General features: G+C 34.0%; 1 long non-coding RNA gene across 2 annotated transcripts in view; it reads left to right on the top strand.

The window, feature by feature from the left end:
* LINC01853 (long intergenic non-protein coding RNA 1853) overlaps positions 1–26,202 on the top strand; it is a 38,124-nt gene extending 11,922 nt beyond the window's left edge. For both annotated transcript variants that reach the window (NR_183815.1, NR_183816.1), the window contains exons 4-6: positions 17,989–18,093; positions 20,842–21,002; positions 25,646–26,202. This is a non-coding gene — a long non-coding RNA (long intergenic non-protein coding RNA 1853). The remainder of the gene's footprint in view (positions 1–17,988; positions 18,094–20,841; positions 21,003–25,645) is intronic.
* Positions 26,203–27,171: the final 969 nt, after the last annotated feature.

Below are 27,171 nucleotides of genomic sequence, written 5' to 3'. Positions count from 1 at the left end.
TATATGTATGTGTGTGTAGGGGAGTTTTTATATATAGCTTTCCACTTTCCATATTGAAGGCTATTTGCAGTTTGTACTTTTTAAGCTATAAAAATTGTTTTACATACATTCTTGTGTACAAGTGAGAATATTTATTTAAGCTAAATTCCTAACACAAGAAAGATTTCCAAGGGAAAATACAGTTTGTTTGCTTATAGATATGCCAGATTATGGCCATAAACAATTTATACTCTTACCAAAACTTCATGCCACATGAAGGTACAAATTGGCATGAGATTCCAGAAAACAAGCAGGATGAGAAGGACTTCCACGAAGTTTAGGGGCTTAAAACAAGGTATCAGAGCTTGATCAAAGAGATGATGGTGTCTACCCCAGAAAAAGGATAGCAGGGCAGATGCACATTCATTACATATAAAGAAGTTAAAGTTAATAAAGTAAATATTAAATTTCCATAAAAAAGAGTTACTTAAAATAAATAAGGTAAATATTAAATATATGTTTCTCACTGCCAAAGTTGGTAGTTATAAATATGGAAAGGAAGAAAATTAGAATAAACCTTTAGTGTTGGATTGAGATTTGAAGTATTGGTGTTGATGTATGGTTGTTAATGTAGAGAGAGGGATGGTTGGATAGTGGACAGACAGATGAATGGACACATAGAAATATAGATAGAAGGATGATAGAGAGATAGATAATAAACTAATATATATGTAAATAAATACATGTATTCTTCTATTCACTGGTGGTCTTTGGAAACAATTGCTTACCCAATAGCAATGAACCCACCCAGTATTTAGATATTATTTCTAAATACTCTTTTTTCATTAAGAAATGATCGAAAAGAATTGTAGAAATGGCTGGTTCGAAGGCTTGTGAAGGTAAAGCATAAAATTAATCTAGAATTCTTGTGACATTAGGCAAGAAAGTGCTCAAAGGATGTATAGAAAAGAATACAAAAGCACAAGAAAGTGCTCAAAGGAAATATACAAAAGAATACAAAAGCCAGTTTAAATGAGCCTCCACTGGCCAAATCTGACATACCTTGAGAATTAGATAAATAATGATAGTAACACATTATAATCCAATAAATAAAATAGGAAGCCATAGTATAATAGAGATTAAAAATTAAATTAATTTAAAATTTTGACGAAGAATAAGATATTTACAGCATTTTGAAATACCTTCTCACAAAATATCCATAATTAAATGGGGGAAAGAATTATCTTATATAGAGAAGACTAGAATACATCATTTTAAACAAGTGATAAACATCATCAATAATGAGAGAATTGGAAAGAGTATGTCATTGGATAGGATGTAATGAGAGGAATACAGCATCATTTTTGTGATGTTTCTGACAAAGATGCAGCTCTGAAACTAATCATAAGGCAACATCAGACAAATATTCTAAAAAAAACTATCCTGTAGTCTGAGAAAGTGTCAAACTCATGAAATTTAAGGAACTATTCCCGATTAAAAGAGATTGGAGAGACATTACAACTAAATGTAACAGGAAATTCTGAATTGGATTAGACATTATTGGGGCAACAGGAAACACCCAAACAGACTGGGCTAATTAGATAATGGTAACATATCAAAGATAATATTCTGATATTGACAGTTGTCTTGTTTATGTAGGAGAATAGCCTTACCCGTAGAAAATACTCAGTAAAATATCTGGGAACGATGGACCAGCTAGTGCCAAAAAGTATTATTTGCTCTGTATTTCCAACGAGAGAGAGAGAGAGAGAGAGATAAACTATTTCTTACGTATTTTGTAATTTAACCATACTTGTTAAAAGAATATCAACAAAAATATACTATGCAATAGAAGAAATAAACAAAAAATTCATGTTTGATAGTTTCACATTATTTCTATACATTTCTGCAGCATTCAATATTCACTGCAAATTATTTTTCTGTTCTCACCTTAATCCAGAAAAGGCATGATGATATCATGGTTATTTTCTCACAGCTTTCTGAAATCTTGTTCTCATCTTCTTTCCCAGATTCATTTTTTCCAGCTGAAAATAAATAGAATTGGAAAAAAAAGAAATTATGTAACGTGAGAGGAAAAAGCCTTTGAAGTGAACTCTTCTGGAAGTTTTATGTTCATTGCTATCCTTTAGCTTTCCCAAAATGCCCATAAGCCAAAGATTTCATGTGTTATTTCTGTAATTTGGTAGTTTTCATTTAAATTATGCATTAAAAATGAATATTCATCCTAAAACAATTGGAATGATTAATTATCTAATGAATTTTTCATCTCACAGAAGGCAGTGTTTTATGCCAACACTTACATGGTTAAGAGGCTTTTAAGTTTCTTAGTTTTTAAAGTTCCTTACTTTTAAGTCAGAAAGACACATTTATGTTGTCAGGAATCAAGCTAAATTCCTTTAGTCCACATTTCTAGTTTAGATTTTCTACTTCTTTCTAGATTTTATTTTAAAACCTGCATTTCATTCACACCTATATTTTCAAGAAATTAATTATAGAAAACTAATACTATTTACAATGAGAAATGTATGTGGAAAAATTAATGGCATAAAAAATCAAGACTTGCTTTGGTTAACAGGTACAAAATTATAGTTAGATAGAAGAAATAAGTTCTAGCATTTGATAGCACCCTAGAGAAATTATAGTTAACAATGATTTTTTTTTTGTATATTTTTAAATGCCTACAGGAGAAGAATTCTAGTATTCCCAATACTAAGAAAAAAATGAATGTGTGAGGTGATGACCATCCAACTTATTCTGATTTGATATTATACATTGTATACAGGTATCAAAATATCACATGTAACCTGAAATATGTACAACTATTATATATCAATTTTAAAAGCAATACACAAATAAAGAGAATTAATGGCACCAAAAATTAAGACCTGCTTATTAAATCTAAATGCTTATTTTAAAGTACAAACTGCTTTACTATTTTTAAGAAATTTTAAAACAACTGTTAAAATCTTATGAACTGAAATTTATGATGACTATATTACTGCAGCTTTTTATTATAGAAGCCAATTTCAAAAATATTTTATAGAAAAATAATGAATAAATACTATAATAATGCAGATTTTTCTATCATAAAAAGGCAATATTTTTATTTTAGATTATTCAAATGTGTATATATTTATATATAATTATAGAAATAATACACATATATACACACATACATTAATCTCTCTACATGTATAAGTTATCATTAGATGGTCTATTTGTTTTCTGGAGTCACTGTAACAAAGTACCACCAATTAAATGGCTTAAAACAACAGAAATGTATTCTCTGAAAGTTCTGCAACCTGGAAGTCTGAAATCCAGGTGGTGGCAGGACCATGCTGTCTCTGAAATCTCTAGCGGGCATCCTCCCTGGCCTCTTTCTATCTTCTGGTGGGTGCCAACAATTGTTGGTGTTCTTTGTCTTGCAGATACGTCACTCCAATTTCTGCTTCTGCTGTCACATGGCATCTCCCATGTATATCTGTCTTCCCTCTGTGCCTGTCCCTGTGTTCAAGCTTTCCTCCTTTTATAAAGACATCAGTCATTGGATTAGGTTCCATTCTAATGCAGACCTCATGTTAACCTGATTATGTCTTTCCAAATAAGGTCTGATTTACAAATAACATCATGTTTTGAGGGTCCAGGTTCCTGACGTGAGAAAGGAATTTTGGGAAACACTATTTAACCCAATACTGATGATAACCATTTCTTCCACAGCTTAGTTATGATCATTGTGTAATGACAATTTTATATGGGAGGGATATATATATACATAATGAAAACAATTATAAAATTATGTTTTAAGGTCCTATTTTCTGAATCCCTCTGTAAGAGTGGAAAAGAATTTGTGATGAGGCTATAGGCTTTGTGATTAGACCTAAAGTCTCCAAATTCTTAGCTCTGAGATCTCAGGAAAGTAACTAAACATCTCCCACTGTTTGATTATCTGTTTATATGGTATGCAAAGCAACTGGACAAAATAATAAATAAACTTCTGGGCCTGTAATCCCGGCACTTTGGAAGGCTGATGCAGGAGGATCCCTTAAGCCCAGGAATTCAAGACTACAGTGAGCAGTGATTATGCCACTGCACTCCAGCCTGGGCAACAGAGTGAGACCCTGTCTCAACAAAATTAAACAATAACAAAAGCAAATGAGTAAACCTAAGTTGGCCATCAATTTTTTTAATTGTCAGTTCGGGTTTTCTATTTTTTTTTTCTTTTTTTGAGACTGAATCTCACTTTATCACTCTGTCACCCAGGCTGGAGTGCAGTGGTGCGATATCGGCTTACCGCAAACTCTGCCTCCTGGGTTCAAGCGATTCTCCTGCCTCAGCCTCCTGAGTAGCTGGGACTACATGCATCCATACCAGGCCCAGCTAATTTTTGTATGTTTAGTAGAGACGAGGTTTCACTATGTTGACCAGGCTGGTCTAGAACTCCTGACCTCAGGTCATCCATCCACCTGGGCCTCCCAAAGTGCTGGAATTACAGGCATGAGCCACTGTACCCGGTGGAGTTTCTATTTGTTACCAATTTTGTGAATTAGATACACAATATACACTTCTCATGTGTTTGTTACTGCTTTCTCCCTACCTCCCTCTCCCTATAAAAATATGAGTATATTTATTTCACATACTAATTGATGACTGTGCTCATTATAAAAACTACAATTTTACAAATGACCCTACTAGTCTGCCACAATATAAAAAACAGTTTAATTCAGGACTAATTTAGAAACAACAACCACAAATTTAATATAGAGTTCAGATATAATATGCTCTGAAGAGCATTAGGAATTGAGTAAGTAAGCTTTGCTAGTCTTATGATATTAACAAGTCATTTCCCCTATAGGAGCCCTAGTTTCTTCCTGTATAAATGATAATAACTGTCTTTCAGACTTGTGAGATGCCAGGAATTAAAGACAGGCGCATAAGGTAGATAGAACAACTTCCAGTGTAACAAACATGGGGAATTGTTGCTCAGTGTCATTAGGGACTCTTTCAAGTGTGTCTTCCTGTACAGAAAAGGTAAAAATAATAACATCACTTACATTTGTTATATACAATATTTTATAAGATAATAACATCGCAGACTTCCGTGCAGCTAGAGTTCCATTTGTTTTTTAAATTCAGTCAACCAGGGACATTTATTTGTAATTTGAAAGAAACATTTGAGGTGAATATCATACTTTTACGATTTCTTCTGACAAGTGTGATATTAACATTGTGTGTGTTTGTGTGGTTGAATTATTAGGATCACTACCTTTGTTGTTTGAGTGCTGTGTTAGTGTTTTCTGTTGCTTGTAACAGAATTTCTGAAGCTGGGAAATTTATAAGAAAATGAATTTATTTCTTAAGTTCTAGAAGCTGAGAAAGCTGAGAAGCCATATCTGTTGAGTGTCTTCTTGCTGGTGGAGACTCTCTGAAGAGCTCTGAAATGGCACAGCACATCACATAGTGAGGGGGCCGAGCATCCTAGCTTGGATATCTCTTCCTCTTCTTATAAAGCTACCTGCCCCACTCCCACGATAATCCATTAATCCATTAGCCCATGAATCCCTTAATCCCTGAATGGATTAATCCAGGCTCTGCCCTCGTGACCTGATCACCTCTTAAAGGTGATTAATAGCACCTCTCAATACCAGCACATTGGGGATTACATTGGGAATCAACATGAATTTTGGAGGGAACAAATATTCAAACCATAGCAGTTCTTATTGTGAGCTATTTCCCTGGCTTTAGTGCTAGGTGTTAGACGTTGATTCATATCTCCTGTATACTGGCAAGTAACTTAAAACTTAGGGTGACAACTGATGAGACAGAGAAGTATACAGAGTTTTTTGTGAGCACAGAGGAAAAATAGCACATTTTTAAAATTCCAATAAAAATAGAGAAAAAACCGTATCCTTAAAATCAAATAAACCAATTTTGGGACAATAACAAAAATAAAGTAACATACAGGTGTTATAGTTTTAAACTAAACTAAACAGACTAAACGGATTAAAAATTAATTATAAAATCTTATGAAGCCAATAAAATCATGGTCTGATTCATTTCCATGACTTCCAAATCCTGTAATTAAGGTTTTCTCTGATTTATTCTGGCGATATCAGTCATTTTGGGGTAGTTCTACTTATTGTCACATACTCAGTCAAAAATCTAATTCTCCGTTGTCTCATATATTTGTGGTAAGATACTTAAATCTTACTCAGTTCAGAATTTGAGTCATATTAATTTTGTTCCCAAATTATAATAATAATTTTCTGAAATTATTTAAATATGTGAGTCTCAAAATGAACTATAAAATTTATTTTCAAAGCGTGATCTGCTGAGGCCCATCAGCAGGCACAAGCTGTAAAGGTTATCCTCAGCAAAGAGTTTAAAAAGGCAAATCCTTTCTTCAGCTCTCAAGGGTTGATGCCACACAATCTTTTTTATGCCTGTGTTAATTTCTAGTAATCTACCAAATGAAATTTTTTTGTTTCTATACTGTGGTGTTTGTAAATTGCTTTTTAAAACTCTGTAGCCTATAGAAAAGGCTGATTGCTGTACAATATTTAGCAACTTTGTAAACATTTAACATAACACAAAGAATCAGTTTGTCCAGTCAGTCACGTGAGAGATCTTAGTCATTTTAAACTTTCGCTAACAATTTCAAAGTTTGGGATAATTTTGAGGAATAAATAAGAGCAATGGAGCCATTCTGGAATTCCAACCTACCTCATCAGCTCTTCTGCTTCTTTCATGACTTGTTCTGGCCCCCCAGTTAAGAGATAAAGTTTATAAATGAGAAGTGTAGCCTTATCGCATAGATGAAATGAGCTACTTACATCATGAACACCTTCATTTTATCCTCTAATGGCGGCTTGGAGTATGGGGCATTTTCCAGAGAACCATACCTCATAAATTCAGAGATTTAGATTGTTTTAACACAAGCAATCCTAAACAACCCAGATATGTTACGCTAGAAACATTCCATAGATAAATTTCCACTTGATACTGTTGGGTTTTTTTTTGTTTGTTTTTAGTTTTTTAATTCTAGAAGGTCTATCACTAGCATATTACAAGGAGATTAGACTGAGCCTCTTACCTTCTTTTTTTCCTGGGAGAATATTTTACCTGCATTTGGGTTAACTTTTCAATGTTTAGAGATGTATATGTTTAAAGTTTTGGCCAATAATTGCTCAGTAACTGAATTTTAACATATGTGCATCACGTATGCCACTCTTTAAATATAAGTGATTATATCACTCTTGCTAAAACAGATATAAACTTGATTTCCCAAAATTTACTTACAGATCCTTTCTTATGGGGCCTACATTAAAAAAAAAAAAGTATTTAAATTGCTTTGCATGTTCTATCAAAATTGGTAAAATTAAAATATCTGTTGTGTTTTTTAGTCATAAGTCATGTAATTTCTTATGAAATGATCAATAAATGTTTTATGTCTGGTACTTCCCAATTCTTTGTTATTACATCTTGTTTTTTCCACTTGGTCATAAGAGAAGGTGAATAAACCTTATTTAAAAAGATTTAAAAATCATTGGACTAAAGTCTCATTTGTATTGTAACTTACATTAGCCAAAGCTAATTTTAACAATGTCATCTTTTGATAGGTCACAGAAAAATAAAAAATTAGAAATAAACAAAGCATTCTAGTTCAGCTTTCTTGAGGGTATGGTTTTTCTATAAAAATCTGCTGAAAGATGCTGTTTTAGCAGGAAAGCAGTGCTCAAGTATTACTTTCAAAGAAAGAAATCTAGGATTTATTAATGCTATTTCCTCAAGCAATAATTGATTGCTGGCAAAGATAACCTGAGTCTCTCATTGAGTTTAATTTGTTTTATTTATTTATTTATTATTTAAAATGCATTTTTTAATGAGGTCAGTGTGAATTCGTACCAAATGAACTCCTTTAACTCTCGACTTCAAAAAAGTTGCCTAAATTCCTTTTGGCTAGATCTGATGGTGTATTAGTAAATAAAAAATTCCAACTCATTTGGACAACTATCCACTTCTAATCTGCTTTTTAAAAATAAAAATAAACAAATAAACACATACATAGATACAACTAAATGATAGGTGGACCTTTAATGTGTTTTGCGTTCTTTTTGTTTTCAGTTGCAAATGGTTGACCAGTCGCATTTCATTTGAGAGTTAAGTTTTTTTCTAGTTTTGTTCTGTATGTTGTTTTCAAAAATGGGTAAGCGCTTCATCTATTTGACTATCTTCATTTTTAAACACTGCAGAAGAAAAATCAATCACAGGGAAGTTTATTCAGGCCTTAGAGGTCACTTATGTGTCTTGCAGGCGTCACCTTTTACACTATGGGTTTCCTTTGGTTTTTAAAACATTGTAACTAACAAGCTTCTTACCAAGACTAATTAGATGACTTAGAAACCTCAAATTGTAAGCAATTTCACTCAGTTAATTTAAGTGAGTCTCTAAATATTCACAAGTATTCATGCCTTTCTTAATTGTGCTAACATTTTTAAAAAGCATTGAACAAATCCTTAATAAACTGCTTACAATCCTGGCTCTAGCCATACCAGATTTGTGACCTTGCATTCTTCATATCTCTAAAGATAATCTATTATTTTCCTCCTTTGATCCTTTCATTTGAAATATTATATTAATTTGTACCCTAATTTTAAATATATATTCACTATTATAATATCTTTTCTCATGCTTATTTTCTTATTAACTTGATAGATAGCTAAATTTGATTTGCATTTTTTTTTTTATTTCTTTGGTATGTGAGAATGAACTGTACTTTTCTTCTGAAATATCTAAATCATGCTTCAATTTATGGCTATACTAGTTTTATAAAAGTAACTGGAAAGATTTCATTTGGTTTTATATTTTAGTTTTCCTCATATAATTTATGCTATGAACAATCAGGTCACCCAGGTGGAATGTCTTAAGTAATGGACTAATAATATCTGAATATTTACTATTTTTTTAACAGAATTTTTAAATCAAAACTAAGATATTCGAAAATAATTTTCTGTTTGGTATTGTATTTTCAGTGATACAAAATGAGAGCTAATTTGGGTATATACATTACCAAATATCAGAATACAGTTCACATCTAATATATGATAACCCGAGTGACATTTTTCAAAGAAAACAGTAATCTTGAAGAATTTTGCTGATATAATTACCACTTTAACTTCACTACTTAAAAAAATTATTTCATAAGATGCCTTTATATATGGGTGAAAATGTCAGATAAATGTCATTTTAGGCAGCTGCCTGAGCAGTAATGAAGTCTTTTTATTTTGAACTCTAGCTAAACTAAAAAGAGTCTCTCTTTCTTCCTGATTATAAAAGTTAAATCAGCCTTACCAGGAAGTTTAAGCATTACATTCATTATTTTTAGTGAGAATGTTGAATATGTTCTTTCCAGCAATGACTCCAAGCAATTATATCATGACTCTTTAATTGTGTTCCTGACTTAACACCTAACATATGTAGTTGTAAAAGGAGTATTTTGTGTTCATAGTGACTATTCATATCAGCCAAGCTACCAACATTCTGTCTCTCTGCTTCGCAATGTAAGTCCTTGGATTTAAGTAGAAATTACTACGAATATTATTTGAATATGAATTTTATCATGATATTAATTATAAATGGTTATATTTGAGAGTGAATATTAATGCTCTTACTTAAGCTTTATAGACAAAATCAGATCACAATAGTATGGATGTAGTCAGCTTCTTTAAAAAGTCAGTAGGTTTTATATTAACATTTTTCTGAGGACCCATAGTCTGGAGGATGGAGAGTTTTGTTCAAAATGCACTAAGCATTCTTTTCTTGAGGGATATATTGGGAAATATATTTTAATTGGGAAATAAGAACAATTAGAAGTGTAAATACTATTCAAGGTATATCTCACTTGAAACAAACTATCATCTTAATTAATAAAAATGAATTTAAACTCATTTAAAGAAACCAAAAGCATAGGAACTTGGGGCCATTTAGTGAAGGAATACACACACACAATTGTTTTATAGAAAAAGTACATTGATATTTAAGGTGCAGTTATTGGAAAGCTTAAAAGACAGTCACAAGAAGCTGCATAAGAAGGAAGGAAAACACACAAACTTGTTAAGACATATTTTTTCCCCAAATATGCAAAAAATTGCTTTGGCAAATACAGTGTAATACCTTAAACATGTGGAAAATATGAATAAACAGTGAAGAGCACATTCATTTATTAAATGTTTATCAAATGCTTGGACATCAGTGTAAAGCACTTTCTTGTATATTTTTCCTGTTTTATTCTCAAATGAAATGATCTGTTATCTTAATCTCCTTTAATATATAAAGAACCTGAGACTCACAGAGATAAATAACTTCCTCAAGGACATATGACAGTAAGCAACAAATCAGGGCTTTTTGAGTCTTATGGTTACTTTGCTTTCTGGAGAGTTCTGAGCTGCTGAGCTTTTCCTATAAAAGCAAATCTCAGATTGTGTTCCTTATTATATCAGATTTGCTTTCCTCTCGTGCTTAATCCCTTGATTTTGGTTTCGTATTCTATTTATCGTGTTGTATCTACTTTTCACTATGTAAAAACTTCCTTCCAATGAGAAAGAAAATCAGTTTTGGCCTTACAATTAGCATCCCAAAGCTTTCTAGAGATCAGAGTTGCATGACATTATAAGTTGCTGCCATTTTGAATCATCATGGACCACGGATATTTAGCAAGAATAAAGGTGCTAATCTCATTTTGTCACTTACATGTTAGATTTTTCAGTGGTTAAAGACCAGTGGTTGACACAGTGTCAAAATTAATCTTATGCTAATTGTTTTATTTATCAGCTTAAGTGATTAAACTATTTGTGTGTGAGTGAGCATGCAACCTTCCCTGTGAATTCTTAATAACAAAATGCTCTTTTTGGACACATCATTGTTAATGATTCCTCTACTTTCCCATCTTCTAAAGACTCTTCTACCTCACTCACTCCTACCCCCATTTATGATCTCAGTTAGAACGCTACACTTATGCTCACGTCAACCTCAAACTATTAACTTTAAAACTTCTCCTTGTTTATATTTGGATGCTTGCTATTTCCACTTACTCTTTCTTGATCCAAAGCACTTCTTTCAATTCTCAGATTTTCTTTAATCATAAGCTGTATTTTGGCATAGCTCTGACCTGGGGTACCTTCCTACTGCATTACTGAATTACAAAACCTGTTTTCCTAAAAGCTCACTTATGAAGAGGAGAAGACATTTCTGCATTTTGATCATAATTATTTCCAATTATAAAACCACTTAGTTCATATCATTGCCTCTAGGAAAACTCTCCTCACAAACCTGGGATCATAAGAATTTACCCATTTTCTTGGATCCTAATTGAATTATTAGTCTCTTTTTCATATTGTTTAATAGGTAAAAATTTAGTTTCCCCAGAAAATCAACATCTTCAGGTCCAAATTATTCCTTTATGCTTTACTTTTATTGCATTTCCTGTTATTTTATATTTGTTCAAAATAATTAGTGAATTATAATTGAGCCAGCTGAGTTTACTCGTATTAAGAATTAATATAGATTTTTCATTCTGTTTTTCTTTCCCTCGGGTATTAAGTAGCATTAGCTGCATGCACTCAGAGAAAAGCCACATATGTAGATAAAGCAAGAGGTACTCTGCTATAATGGTGCAGATTATCTCTTCTGCTGTATTAGCCTCTGAGAGTCCAATTGAGGGGTTAGAAAACAGACCTTTCACCTCTTTGTATCTCTTATAAGCACTTTTAATCATGGCACAACGAGAACTCTCAATAATTTTTGTTGGATGAATAAGAATCTGTGCTCCTTAGTTTATCTGAAATAGAGTAGCAATGAAGTAAATATCTCTAGAAAAGTACAAAATGGAATAATTACTGCAAAAGTCAATATGTTGTACTAAAAATGGAAAGTATCAGGCATTCTAATCCCTGCAATTAAAAGAATATTATCTTGTGGTCTACTGAGAAAAATGAAGAAAGTTTTAAATTGCTTTCCTAAAACTAATTTGCAACGAAAGGCATTTAAGGATTGATAATTATTAGTTTGTTGTATTATGGTAAAATATAGCAGCCTGAAAGAACTGAAAAAAGAGCAAATTCCTTTTTCCTTTAAACTTAATACTTAAATTACACAAACTGAATAGTAGTCTACTGAGGAAAAGCCTATTGTTTTATTACCCAGCTAAGCTCATAATTGAAATAATAGTGATTGCAACCAAATGCTCTGTAAAGAGCTATCACGTTTTTGAATTGGGAAAAGTAAATGAATCAATATATTGTTAACCTGCATAGCAATTGTCCATTTTCTTGTCAGAGAATTTAGCATTGTATTTAATCTAAAATTATATCTACTGGACCTAGATTTTTAGAAAGAGAAAAGGCTGCTTCAAAAAATTTCATTGTCAAGGTTGTATTTGTTATCCTTTTTCCTCTGAGGTAATTGCATGATGAAATTATGTGTGAAAAGAGAATTTTCAGCTACTACCTTGAATAAAGGTTAGGGAAAGGTTATGTTTAGCATAACTCCATTACCAACACATTGTTGCCCTATAGGCAGAATAATCTAATTTCATTTCTTTTCTGATTCCAATGGAGTACTGTATCCTCTGTCTTTTTTTTGTGTGTATATATATATATATATATATATATATATATATACACACACTATATATATATTTTTTACTTTTCCCTTATCCATATTTGCATTCCTTCCACTGATTGTGTGGACAAATAGGATGATATGAATGCAATGTTTTGGAAATCACTCAGTATTTTTTAGAATCCCTTTATTTTCCCATATTTCCATTTCTATTACCATGAGATACCTCCGAATGATAGTTTTTCTCTTTAAAATCCTAAATTAGTCTCTTTCTAAGATGTTGCTCAATTTGACTGGGAAAGAAAAAAAACAAATATTTCAGTTTTATTTTTGTAACACTGGAATAACATAGTGTCAATATGGGTATTGACCATCCAGACCAAAGAAATACTTTATGCCTGTTATGAATATATTAGTTCCTTCAAATAAATGAAATATCTAGTTTTTCATTCATTCATGTGCTAGTAATTACTTGCCATGTGCCAAGCATTATTTTACAAAGAAAGCCTATATAGGATTATTTTTAAAACATAGGCGTATGAGTTGAGAATTGTTCCACAAAATGACCGAGCAGTACTCCTCAAAACTAACGAGGTCATCAAAAACAATGAAAGTTTGAGAAACTCACAGTCAAGAGGAGTCTAAGGAGACATGACAACCAAGGCAATGTGGTGGTATCTTGGATGGGATCTGGGAGCACGCAAAGATATTAGGCATACAGTTAGAAAATCTGAATAAAGTACAGACTTCAGCTAAACATAATGTATCAGTATTGGTTCATTAATTGTGACAAATGTGCCATCTCAATGTAAGATGTTAATAATAGGGGAAATGGGTGTGAGATATGTAAGATTTGTCTGTACTATCTTGACAATTTTTCTGTAAGTTGAAACTATATTAAAATAAAAACTTTATTTTAAAAAAGCTGGGGAGAATCTTAGCTATAATAGATTTAGCCCTAAACTCCTCATTTTATAGAGGAAAAAACTAATGGTCATAAAGTTTGTATAGCTTTTCTAGAGTAGTATACAGCTTATGAATTAAGGAACTGAAACCAGACAATAGCACCTAACTGAAATGAATTTATTCTTTAGCATAACTAAAAACAAAAACTGTAATATTTTATTACACCATGAAAATAAATGTATCAATCTTCACAGAAAAAATATCCTTAGTACATATTTTTTGTTCACTAACCTCATTGGTGCATTATATTAATGAGATCCGATAGCCTCTTTAACCAATAGTATCTTGCAGTGGCTTAAAATGTGTGTGTGTGTGTGTGTGTGTGTGTGTGTGTTTTCTGTGCCCTCTAAGTACGTTCTGGATGTTCTTTCTCATCTTGTCGCTGATCAATGATCCATTCATACACTTTCTTTGTCTCTACACAATTGATATCTGTTACATTTAATCTCCTTTATTTCTATTTATTTTGAAAAATCTTAATTTCTTGTTTTACGAATAACTGCAGGACAGAGATTTTATTACAAAGTCAGAAAGAATGATCTTTTACACTATATTGAGCTATGTTTGAGCTCTGCTGAAATAAAGCCAAGAGAGTGATTAACAAAGCTAAATGTAAAACATATATATATATGTATGTGTATATATGTGTGTGTGTATATATATATACATTTATATACACAAATTATTTGATCCATATGCCCAGTTACCAAGAAGGTTTAAAAAACATAAAAGGATAATCCCTTCATACTCACTTTCTGATGTCCAACTACAGTTGACCCTTGAACAATGCAGGGGTTAGAGGCGCCAACCTTGTAGTCAAAAATCTGTGTATAAATTTTGACTCCCTAAAAGCTTTACTACTAATAACCTGCTATTGACCAGAAACCTTACTGACAACATAAACAGTTGTAAAACATGTATTTTTGTGTTATATGCATCATATATTGTATTCTTACAATTAAGTAAGCTAGAAAAAACAAATTGTTATTAAGAAAACCATAAGGAAGAGAAAATATATTTACTATTCTTTAAGTGGAGGTGGGATCTTCATATAGATCTTCACCCTCATCACCTCACATTAAGTAGGGTGAGGAGGAGGAAGAAGAGCGGTTGGTTTTGCTATCTCAGGGCTGGCAGAGGTGAAGAAGGTAGAAGGAGAAGCAGCAGAGACAGGCATACTCAACATAACTTTTATCATGCATAAGTGGACCTGTGCTGTTCAAACCCATGTTGTTGTTCAAGGGTCAGTTGTAGTTTATGTTGATCTATAGAAATACCATCTGGCACCTATCAGAGATGTGGAAGGATCCTACCAGCTATATTGAGACTATTGTTCATAGGTGATTATGATACTTGTGGGGGGCTCCCTGTCTTCCTACTTTATATCATTTATTTTAACACAAAGAAATATTTGACGTGCTTGAGTAAATGCAACAAAACTAGAGCTGAGTGTGAATAAAAAAGATGAGATAACCACAGCCTGATAAAGTAAAATCTCTAAGTTAGTATTAAAAGACACTAGAGTAAATGGGGGGAATGAGGTATAGTTGCAGAATTTACTGTTTTGGCACAGATAATAAAGTTTCTCGAGTCTGTCAGTTCAAGATGTACCATAAAATAGTAGAAATTATACTATATCTGGATATAATCAAATCTTATTTTATTGAACAGAACAAGATCCCAACATAGTTGAAAACCAAGGCATAGGAAAAATAAACAATTTTTTTTTGTTTTTTTTTGTTTTGTTTTTTTTTTTTTTTTTGAGACGGAGTCTCGCTCTGTCACCCAGGCTGGAGTGCAGTGGCGCAATCTCGGCTCACTGTAAGCTCCGCCTCCCGGGTTCACACCATTCTCCTGCCTCAGCCTCCCGAGTAGCTGGGACTGCAGGCACCCGCCACCACGCCCGACTAATTTTTTGTATTTTTAGTAGAGATGGGGTTTCACCGTGTTAGCCAGGATGGTCTCGATCTCCTGACCTTGTGATCTGCCCGCCTCGGCCTCCCAAAGTGTTGGGATTACAAGCGTGAGCCACCGCGCCTGGCCAAAATAAACAATTTCAAACAGGTGAAAAAGAGTAATACAGAGAGAGTAACAGTACAGTATCAGGCAGAGTTACTCATGTGTCTGTGGAGACACACTGCATGTTAAGTCTATACCTATATTAAGTGTTTTTGTATGTTAGAAAAAAGTGTGGATAGGTTGCATTGCACATAGTGACCAGATGAGGATTACAGCTTTTGGTATTTTGCAGGGAGCATAATTAGAAAAATATTACCATATGTTATTAGCACCACGGACAGATAATGGGAACTGTGAAAGAGTCTGTGCCGAAGTCTCAGTAATGTGATCAAATTAACAAACGAAGACAGAATAAAATTTGAAATGAGCAGAAACGAAATGCTACATGTCATCCCAACAGCTGTTTTTACCAGACCTAAGAAAGTGGTTGAGGGTAAGAGGGTTGCTGACAAGCTACTGTCTTGAGGAAAGTGAGGGAGAGAGAATTGGTAACTGCACAAAAGATATGTGCACTTACTTTTTCACCCACCCTGGATTTTCAGTACTTCTCACTTGACAAGCAAAAAAGCAATAAGGATGTGGGTAAAGCTTTTTATCCCACTGAAAATTATTGGACAGAACTTTTCAGGGACATCTGGTCTCACTTTTAGAGCAGAATGACAGAAATGTTCAACATTCATAAGCACCTTGGAAAATGGGATATATGACCATTTCTGCCGTGTTTCTCCTCTTTATGTGTGGGTAGCTTAGAATTTGTTGATTGGGCATAGGTAAGTTCAACAGGTTTAAAGCTAAAACACTTTTAGATTCAAGCCTGTCTATAAATTTCCTTGATAATGAGAGAAAAAAATTTAAAAAGGAAAGGTGTGGCAATTAAATAGATTAGTAGACTACTCCATTCCATGTACGCGATTTGGGGACTATTATGAAGTTACCACTTCATAGTGGTTATTCCTTATCACTTAAATCATTGTGGAAATTTGCTCTTTCAAAAATGGGCATACAATTCTCTAGTAATGACAACTTTAGCACTCAGGAAACAAAAAAACAGAAAAAAAAAAAAAAAGGAAGATAGCAGAGATTTTCCATACTGAGCTTTGCTCCAATTTTGGAGCCAATAAGCTAATTTCTCTCCTTCATGCTAATAGGTTTTCAAGTCACTTAGGTATTTAAAGTACTACTTTTAGATTACAGAACTGGAAGAGATAATAGATTTGACATTTTTCAAACTACCTTTTCTAGATGTGTCCCCAAACTCATCCTGCCAAATGCGGTTGAAATAAAAATCTGAAGCACTTTTTCAGAAGAATCGCTGATGCTAGTACTGCTTGGGTATTGTTGGAAGGATAAATTTGCAATAGATTCTTATCAAACTCCTTATTCTAATCAATGAGAGGGGAAAGTATGTAGGGGCAAGAAAGAGATATTTTATAGTATTCAACACTCCCCTGGCAGCCTAATTCTGCAGTAAGTCAGGTGAACCAAGAGCCTCGCCTCACCTGCCCTCACTTACTCCTTAACTTCTCAATATTGGCAGGCTGGACCTACCCCAGCCCTTGTCCTGGAAGAACCCTATCCTTTCCCTCATATTCACTCTCTTAGGTAAGGTTCCCCAGTGAAATCATATGGTTACATTTTTTAAATCTGCTGCTACATTTTTAGTGCATGCAGTCCCAGGGGGCAAGAGTGAGGAAGGAATGGAGCAGGGAGGAAAGGAGAGCACATGCCAGAACACAATATTCAAAGGCCACCATTTGGTACAGAGTGTGACTGATTGCTCAAGCTCATAGGGTCAGCATCTGAGATGCTTCAGAAAAGGCTGCTTATGAACGCCATCTCAAGGCCATAGTGCCACTTAAGTAGCAAGTACCACCAGCTTTCAAAACAGAAGCCCAGGAATTTAAAACATCTGTTGTTCTACATTGCTGACACAGTACTAGCAATTTTACAACTGTCTGTTCTCCTGGAAATTAATTTCTCCCAGTTCTCATTTCACAATTTTAAAAATTTTGGCTTTATTTTCTCAACCCATTTTCTGTTTTCCTACATGAATTACCACTAGTTCATATGTCCACTTTCCTTTCTATTTTGATTCATACAGATTGACTTTGTAATTCATTTTTCATGCTCCTCAGCCACCCCAGGTTTGTGCACAGGTTCTTATGACCAGAATGCATGAGTTTCGATGTTCTCGAATTTGCTGGCCGTAGGCAAGGGATATTCTCCCAGTTCCTGTTGTGTTCCAAGATAGAATCTTAAAGATCTCTCTAGATAAGTGACATACTCATACAATATTTTTTACCTACTTGAATTGCATATATATATATATATATATATATATATGTCACTTAGCATTTTATAAATTACTTTCATATATTTTCTTTTTAGACTTCACCATCAATTCATACAGCAGATATCATCATACACAGTCCAGGTATGAAGATCTGGGCTCAGAGAGACTAAGTAAGTGAATTGCCTGAAGACACATTGTTGGTGAGTAACAAAATATGGGGACCTGGAGCAATACTAATTTCACAACCCTATTTACTATCTTCTGGAAAGTAAGAAAAAAAATGGTATGGCTTTGGAAAAAATTGATGAAGTTCCCAGGTGTCAGATTAAAGCACAATATTGGAGAAGGGGAAACTGTTCATCACCCAGTGAAGTGGGTTTGGGGATTAGATCTTTCTCTGTTAGTTATAGCACATTATTCAGGGCAGATACATGTGCCAGACCATGTTGATCAGATAAAGCAGATGACCATTAAAGTTGCCTATCACAGTATGAAATATGACTGTATGTTCTGCTATTCCTATTTAATGGAGAAATGTGAGAAAGCTGTTCCTTGTTGGAAATAAACTCACAAAATAAACAAATAACATTGTATCTATTAACACTAGCAAATGAGAACAGAAAATAGATGACTGAAAATCATACTTTTTAACATAACATATGAATAATGCAAATTCCTTGGGGGTAAAAAAAATTAGCAATCTGTTCATATTGGTTGCCAGAAATTTCTTGAATTTTAAATACGAATACTTCTATTGTGACTATGAAGGCTGACAGAGCTGTATGTCTGAAATTTAATCCAACCAGTGAGGTTAGGATATAAGAGCAGATATTCTGGACTCAAAGTGGGTACTCATCAATACAAATACCATACTGAGGTGTATTAAATATCTCCTTGCCAACTTTTTTCTATGATGTCACTGTGAGCTTTATGCAAGAATATTTGTTACTTTATATTTTAAAAACCTTTAAAATAAATGATACATGGAATAAAAGATTAGCAGTAGTAGATAAATCATCACCATTTGATCATTTATATTTGGTGATGATAGAGTGATAGACTTAATGTCATTCCATGCATGTGAAGCACATTTAAATTATTAGCAACATATCAAGAATTCTGAATGAAACAACACACTTAAATCTGAAGTCTCCTCTCTACTCTCCTTATCATTTAATGCTATGTATATCTGGGCTGTCTAATTACAAACACATCTAGTTAGATGAGAAACTGTTATTTCCAGATGATGCTGTGCAAAATTCTTGGTTAGATTTGGGTTTAAGGTCTAAATGAATGCTATTAGTATATTATGGAGAGTGTCTGATTTGGAATAAAGTATTGATGTACTTTCTAGAAACAGAATTAGTAGGAGCAAAACTTTTCTGTAGGAGATCTGGAATCACTGAGCAGTGAGAAATGTCAAGGTCACATGTCCAGTCAGAATGTGAAGGAGAGAAGGACCATAGAAACAGAAAGCCTGATTCTTTCCTCTGCGTGAACTTGTCCAAGCTACTTCCTAACAACAAGAAAATGGTAGAACCTGAAAAAAAGAAAGTTCGTAAGTCTGAATATCAGGAATGGAATCAAATTAAACATCAAAATGCAGGGTTCACAAAATTATTTTAAATATATATATATATATATTTTTAAGCGAGAAACATTTGTCTGCACTGTTGTGTGTGTATGTTTATGTGTGTGTTTTGCAGTAAGCTGGTAATAAGAAAGAATGAAATCACTTGCTTGACTAAAAGAGTCTGTTAATAAGTAGGGGAGAGAGACATGTTCACTACATGGATAAACATAATATGATGAAAAAAGACCATGTGCAAAAGGAAGGATTAGAAGGGTATCTGTGAGAAAGAATGACAGCCTGATACTAATAAAAAGCATTTATTAAGGAGAGCAATGTCTTTTCTTCAACTTGAGCTGCTGAGTTCAATATTTGCTCTTTCTGACTGTGCTGAAATCAGAATACTAAACTTTTCCCTAGCTAGATAGTTATTAGAGAAACACTGAACTCTACTGGTGAATCTACAATCACCACTTGATGATGGCAAATGGGATTTATAATTAGACTGTGAAATAGATAAGAGGATCTTTAACTATCTTTGAGGAGTACATGGTTGTGCAGACAGGTAAGGCTGTGGTCCTTACCTGTCTTAGACAGGGATCCTGCCTGAGGAAGACTGTTACAGCCAGGACACCTGTCTAGAACAGCTGCTTAGAAGGAAGAGGTTGGAGTAGTGGACTGGGGTGCTGTGTGAGGTTACAATAAGAAAAATGTTTGTTTGTTTGTGATACTCACTGGCCAACCAGAGCAGGCCTTTTCAGTGTTGTTCTGAGTTGTTTTTTATTTCATTTTTAAAGCTTAAAATCCTGTAAGGGACTGCCTAACCTTCCTGATTCATATGTACATGAATAAGTAAGCTCTTGTTAACATGTGTGATACATAGTATTTGACAGTGTTTCCAGGAATTTAGGACACTACTCAGAAGCTTATTAGATATGCTATACTTCATGAAAACACCCAAATTATTTATCATCAACTCTCATGTAACTGGAGAGGAATATTACCGAAAGAAATTAGATTTTCCAGGGTAAGCTGAAATTAATTTATTTGATTTTGAAATATCTTTCTTTTTATTTCCTTTTCTTCCTTTCTTTCCTTTCCTTTTATTTTAATTATCCTTTGAGCAAATATTTTTCCTATAAAAAATGACTCTAAACAGTAACCTTTGGCTACCTCTTCTCAGTACCAGATGACTTACGCACAGTAAATATATTCAGCCAATGATGTGACCAATTATTTTTTTGAAATGTGATTTTTAGAAGGGAAGGCGTTCTCCAGACTGACTGATGGAGATGGACTACCCCTGGTCCAAAATAAGCCACTGGCATCTTCTGCCAGCCCATGGTGCAACTACCTGTTTTCTTTCTTTCTTTTGTAGAGCTCTGTGTCTTCTTGACTAACACATGAGGCCACCTCCTGGGGCTGTTTGAACTGTTTCTGCTGATAGGGGAGGGCATTTCTCCAGCCCTGCTTCTAGACTCCCTCTTAATCTTCAGATGGCCTCTCACCCAGTTGCATGTTGAGTTATCCTTTCAAAAGGTAATTTCACAAAAATGTACAAATATGATCTTTTGTAAGTTATTTGCAATGAATAGGTGAGCCAAAAGCTAAGGTGAAAGACACAGGCTTTGAATGCTAAATCGTATTGAGTTTTAAGGATATATTTTTACAGTGTATGGATTTTTGCTAAGCAGAGATGGTCTCATAGCAAAAGATTAATGTTCCAGACATGGAGATTGCTGAACCCAAACTATCTCAGGAAGAAACTATTTTTCACACATAGCTATCCAGGTTGCCAATTTAGAATGCATTTTTATCTAAACAGAGTATATGTGTGGATATATTTCCTGTAACTTCTGCAACCACAGATATAAATATTTTCTGATTAGTATTTCTGTGGCCAACTTGGTTTCTGACCCTACCTTATCAAGGAATAAGGTTTACATCTCAGTCTGTGACCTACTTTTTTGCCAGGATGGTCACCTGTGGTCTCAATTCTGCTCTCAACCTGCTATAAACATAATTCTGGCCAGAGGTCAGAGATCATAGGCCAGTTTACAAATATTGCATTTATTGTTCTAATTTTTAAACAGTGCATATAGTTATCTGTGTCTAGGAAGAGAAAGAAGAGTAGATGTGACAAGCCAGCTGGGGCAGACAAACTCACCTTGTCAATTACTTGGCAATTTCATGCAGAATAGCTCTTACATCTGATTTTACCTGTATCTTATTTGGAAAACTTTTAACCCAAATTACTGAAAACACTTTCCCTTATTGTAATCAAAATGTAATCTATATGTGTCAAACTGCAAACATTAATATATACTGCTTACCAAATAGAAATAGAACAAGAAATATCAGCAACATTTATTTTTTATTCTTATCAGCACAAAAATTTTTAGTAACTTTCATATTTGCATATTTCTTTATAAATTATATATAGAAACTTGGGTGTAATATTCATCACAAAACATTCTTAAAAATAGAAATTAAAAATGTGAGAAGCTAGCAAATGAAAGAGAAGCTACAATATTTTTTTCTTATACTGATATAGTTTGGATATTGGTTCCTACCCAAATCACATGTTGAATTTAATCCCCAATGCTGGAGGTGGGGTCTGGTGGGAAATGTTTGGGTCATGGGGGCAGATCCCTCATGGCTTCATGCTGCCTTCCTGATAGTGAGTTCTCTTGTGAGATCTGGTCATTTAAAAGTGTGTGACAACTCCCCCATTCCCCCAACTCTCTCTCATTCCTGTTCTTACCATATGAGATACCTATTCTTCTGCTTTGCCTCCAGCAGTGATTGTAAGCTTCCTCAGGCCCTTCAGAAACAGATGCTGCTATGCTTCCTGTATAGCCTGCAGAACCATGAGCCAATTAAACCTATTTTCTTTGAAAGTTGCACAGTCTCAAATATTTCTTTGTAACAATGCAAGAACAGCCTAATCCATAAAACACAAAAGATTCTGTCCTGGGAAGCAGGTTCCTTTCCTTTGGAGTTGCTTGTATAGATCATCATGCACAGTTGCTTCTTTCTGACTTACTGATCTCAAGTTGAGGACACTCGTTGTCTTCTTGGTTTCTCTCTATTAACTCGCTTCATTATATCTTATTGATTTCTGAAGTCTGGGATGTAGATATTCAGAACTGATATGCTCTTCATACATTTTTACTTCTCCCATAGCTTAGAAGACAGTTGTGTAGATCTGGAATGTTCTGTTTAAAGTCTCAGACTTAGTTCAGCTCTGGGAGCCAACTTCTCCTAGTCTGCCTTGTCCAGTGGGTGCTAACAAATGGACATGGTATGTATAACTAAATATTTACAAATTGTTATGTAACAAGTGAAAATCTCAGGTCCTCTATCTCAATATAAGCTATTACATTATGTAGTGTGGATCCTTTTGGCACTAACTTATCATTATCCTTTTCATTTAAGTGATGTCAAGTTTTATAAGTATCTGTTGAAGAGAAAGAAATATGGTTTATATCTGCATCCAATCCTGACAGGAAATGTCTTTTGAAATATAAAGTTACAGTTTCTGCTGGTCTTTTAAAATATAAAATTACAGTGTCTGCTGTTTGATACTATTTGTCCTATTCATTTGTCATGATATGCTGAGAATTTTTCTCTCTGTGATGACTGACTCTGAGGTTGGCCAATCTTCTGCTGTGCTGTCTTAGTATCACTCCATTATGCTTTGTGATCTAGAGATCAGAACCACTGCTTTGTCTTCATGTCTTACAGATAATTGCCCCACTGCATGTGTATGTGTGTGGGTATTTGTGTGGGTGTGTTTAACATTAATACTTCTAGATTTTTTATTTTGAAATAATTTTAAGCTTGGAAAGTTGCATAGATAATACTTAGAATTATCATGCAAACTTCACCCAGCTTTCCCAAATGTTGACATTTTACATAACCATAACCAATGATCAAACCCAGAACTTATCATTGACACAATACTACTAACTAAATGAATTACCTTATTTAAGTTATATTAATTATCTCAGTATAGCCTTTGTAAAATGTAACATCACTTTAATCTTTTTTCATCTGGAACACTTCCTCAAATCTTTCTTTATCTTTCATGACTCCTTGCCAATTGCTTTGTAAGATATCCTTCAAATTGGGTTTGACATGTTTTCTCATGACTAAATTCAGTTTAGAAATTTCTGGCAGAAATAACACATAAATGATGGGGATTTTTTCCTTCCTCAGTGTATTACATCAGAAGTTACATGATACAGTTATTTTTTACCTCTGGCGATATGAGCTATGATCACCTATTTAGGGTGGTGTTTAGGTCTTTCCTAGAAAGTTATTTTTCCCTTTACTTTTATTTTCAGAGACAGCTTTCTCTCTTCCCATGTTTATTTCATTGTTTAATTGTTTACTTATTAGTATGGACTCATGGATATATGCTTGATTTTAGGTTATAATTAATTAATCAATCAGTCAGAGTATAGGTTATCATGCATTACTATGACCATCTATTTTCTTGATCTGATTGTCCTAAAATTGGACATGGGAGCCTCCTCATGTTGACTTTTCCTTGACATCTCCACCACTTTTTAAGACTTCCTTACTTTCCGAGACCACAAAATGTTCCAGTCTTACCTTGTCCATTCAATGTACCAGTCCAGTAATAAAGCTTGCTCTAAAAAGTATTATTTATTTTTGTTGGAGAATGTTATTTAGAAACCAAGATCTGGATAACAGGCATTCTCCTTGCACTGGTATGTCATTGTTTCTAGGTCTTCTCAATAAAAAGAGCTAGTAAACATATGTAAGGAAACACATAAACACATACATCTCTATATTTTATATTTATCTATTTAAAAAACTATTACTTTATGCTAATACCTTTAGTTCTAATCCTATACCACATGTTTCATTCTAGATTATTTAAAACCCTTTCATTTAATAGTAAGAAATCTGGCTCTCATTATTCACATTATAGTCACATATTTATGCAATTCTGGAATACACATAGTCTCAACATTAGTTGCTTATATTTATGTAAAAAAGCAATTTACTAACTAGAGTATAACAGTTGTGTAGTTGTGTACAGTTTTTTTGTTTGTTTGTTTGCTTGTTTTTGAGATGGAGTCTCGCTCTGTCTCCCAGGCTGGAGTGCAGTGGTATGATCTTGGCTCACTGCAAACTCCACCTCCCGGGTTAAAGCGATTCTCCCGCCTCAGCCTCCCGAGTAGCTGGGACTACAGGCGCATGCCACCATACGCTGTTAATTTTTTTTTTTTTTTTTTTTTAGTAGAGACGGGGTTTCACCATGTTAGCCAGGATGGTCTCAATCTCCTGACCTTGTGATCCACCCACCTTGGCCTCCCAAAGTGCTGGGATTACAGGCGTAAGCCACCATGCCCGGCCAATTGTGTACAGTTTTAATTCATTTAGAGTACATAGTCAAAATACTGTTGTCTAAAATTAATTAGGTTAGTTCTTTTCTTCTACATCTACTTCAATGTGTTTATGATATTTATTTGAAATAGAGGAACATCTATTTTTTGGCCTCATTTTTGATTCCTTCATATGACCTGTTGATTTAAATTAATTCTTTTAATTTTTTGAGAATATGAAATATTAGCATAGTTCTAAGAATCGTACCACAAAAGGCATATTTATAGAAGTTTCACTCTCTCATTGTCCCTTCTACTGTGTTCCCATTTCTTGTTCTTTCCATACCATTCTCACTCATCATCTACAGGCAAACAAATTCATTCATTCCTGTTAGTTTTTTCTATTGTTCTTTTTTTTTCCACAAAAGGGATATATATATATATGTATATATATATATATATATATATATATGGAAAATATATATATGTGGAAAAAAGATAGATATAATCTTTTTGCCTTACATGACAGATAACTTACTGCAAAGTCTCTCTCTCTTATTTTTATTTTCTTCACTTAATGGTTATGCCCTGGAAATTACTCCATATCAGTTCATAGAGTTCTTCCTCATTCACCTTACAGCTACATTTACATTGTGTATATTGTTTACTAAACCATTCTCCAATGTATGGGAATTAAGATTGTTTCTAAGATTTTGCACTGACAAATGATGTGGGCATAAATAATCTTTAACTGTTGGATACATATCTTCATAGGTTTCCATTTTCAATGGGTCATGTAGTGATTCTTTTGTATCTTTCTAGTGTACATGCTTTCTCTGTGGAAGCTGTGGCAAATTTCCAGACTTGGCATCAGGTGGCTTTTGATGATTCTCAAAGATAATATTCATCTAACATGAATACATTTTACTGCTCCTGGGGACACCTATAAGAATGCCCCACTGTGGCCGGGCACAGTGTCACGCCTATAATTCCAGCACTTTGAGAGGCCAAGGGGGGCAGATCACCTGAAGTCGGAAGTGTGAGACCAGCCTGACCAGCGTGGAGAAACCCCATCTCTACTAAAAATACAAAATCAGCCGGGCATGGTGGCGCATGCCTGTAATCACAGCTACTCAGGAGGCTGAGGCAGGAGAATTGCTTGAACCCGGGAGGCGGAGGTTGTGGTAAGCTGAGATTGCAACATTGCACTTCAGCCTGGACAACAAGAGCAAAACTCCGTCTCGAAACAACAACAACAACAACAGCAACAACAACAAAATGCCCCACTGCCTAAAAATATATCCTAAACACGAAGTTCAAAAATGTTTTAATCAATGAAAGCAAAAATAAAATGTGTGTGGAGCTTCCCAAAGGTAAAAGATTGCTTAGCAAGTATTAATTTTCTCATTAAGACAAATTTTAAGTGATTGCTATTTATTTTCTTTGTTATATACTGTTTCGTAAAAGTATCTTTTTGTAATTTTTTAAAAAAGTATGCAAATCCCCCCCACACATATAAAGCTCAATATATTTTCACAAAGTTATATATATATTCAGAAACTGGGGCAGGGTAATAAATATACTGCTCACATTTGACATCTATCACTTCAGTTCACTTACCAAAAAACTACACAAAAGCATTTTGTGTCTCCTTTTACACTTTGCCCACTGAATTTACAGTCCTGTCCATGTTTTGGTAAATGGAGCCAGACTGTCTCAGCTTTATTCCCAATTCATGTTCACTGAACTACAGCAAAGCTCTACATCAAAATAGACCATAAACATGTTTCTTCAAATGTAAAACAGAAGTAATTATATTCTGTACAGTAAGAAAAGATTAATGAGATAGTGCCCATAAAGTATTCATTTAAAAAGCTCTAGAAAAAAAATAAATTCAAAAATACATTTTCCTGACCCCTTAAAAATAAAATTAGGGAGCTCTCCAATGAAGTTGAATTTTGTATTTGTTTGTTCTTAACTATATATTTGCTGAATGAAATTTCTTTTTCTTTTTTTTTTTTTTCTTTTGAGACAAAGTCTCACTTTGTTACCCAGGCTGGAGTAAGTGGAGTAAGTGGCGTGATCTTGGCTCCTTTGCAGCCTCAACCTCCCAGGTTCAAACCATCCTCCTGCCTCAGCCCCTCATTAGCTGGAACTACAGGAGTGTACCACCACACCCAGCTAATTTTTGTATTTTTTTGTACAGACTGGGTTTCACCATGTTGCCCAGGCAGGCCTCGAACTCCTAAGCCCAAGCCAACCACGGGCCTTGGCCTCCCGAAGTGCTGGGATTACAGGCATGAGCCACTGCACCCAGCTGTGAATGGTATCTTACTATTATCTTTCTT

This window comes from Homo sapiens, chromosome 2 (genome assembly GCF_000001405.40).
Source record: "Homo sapiens chromosome 2, GRCh38.p14 Primary Assembly".
NCBI classification, from domain to species: Eukaryota; Metazoa; Chordata; class Mammalia; order Primates; family Hominidae; genus Homo; species Homo sapiens.
Note: the sequence above shows the minus strand (reverse complement) of the source record. Positions and strands in the feature narration are given on the sequence as shown.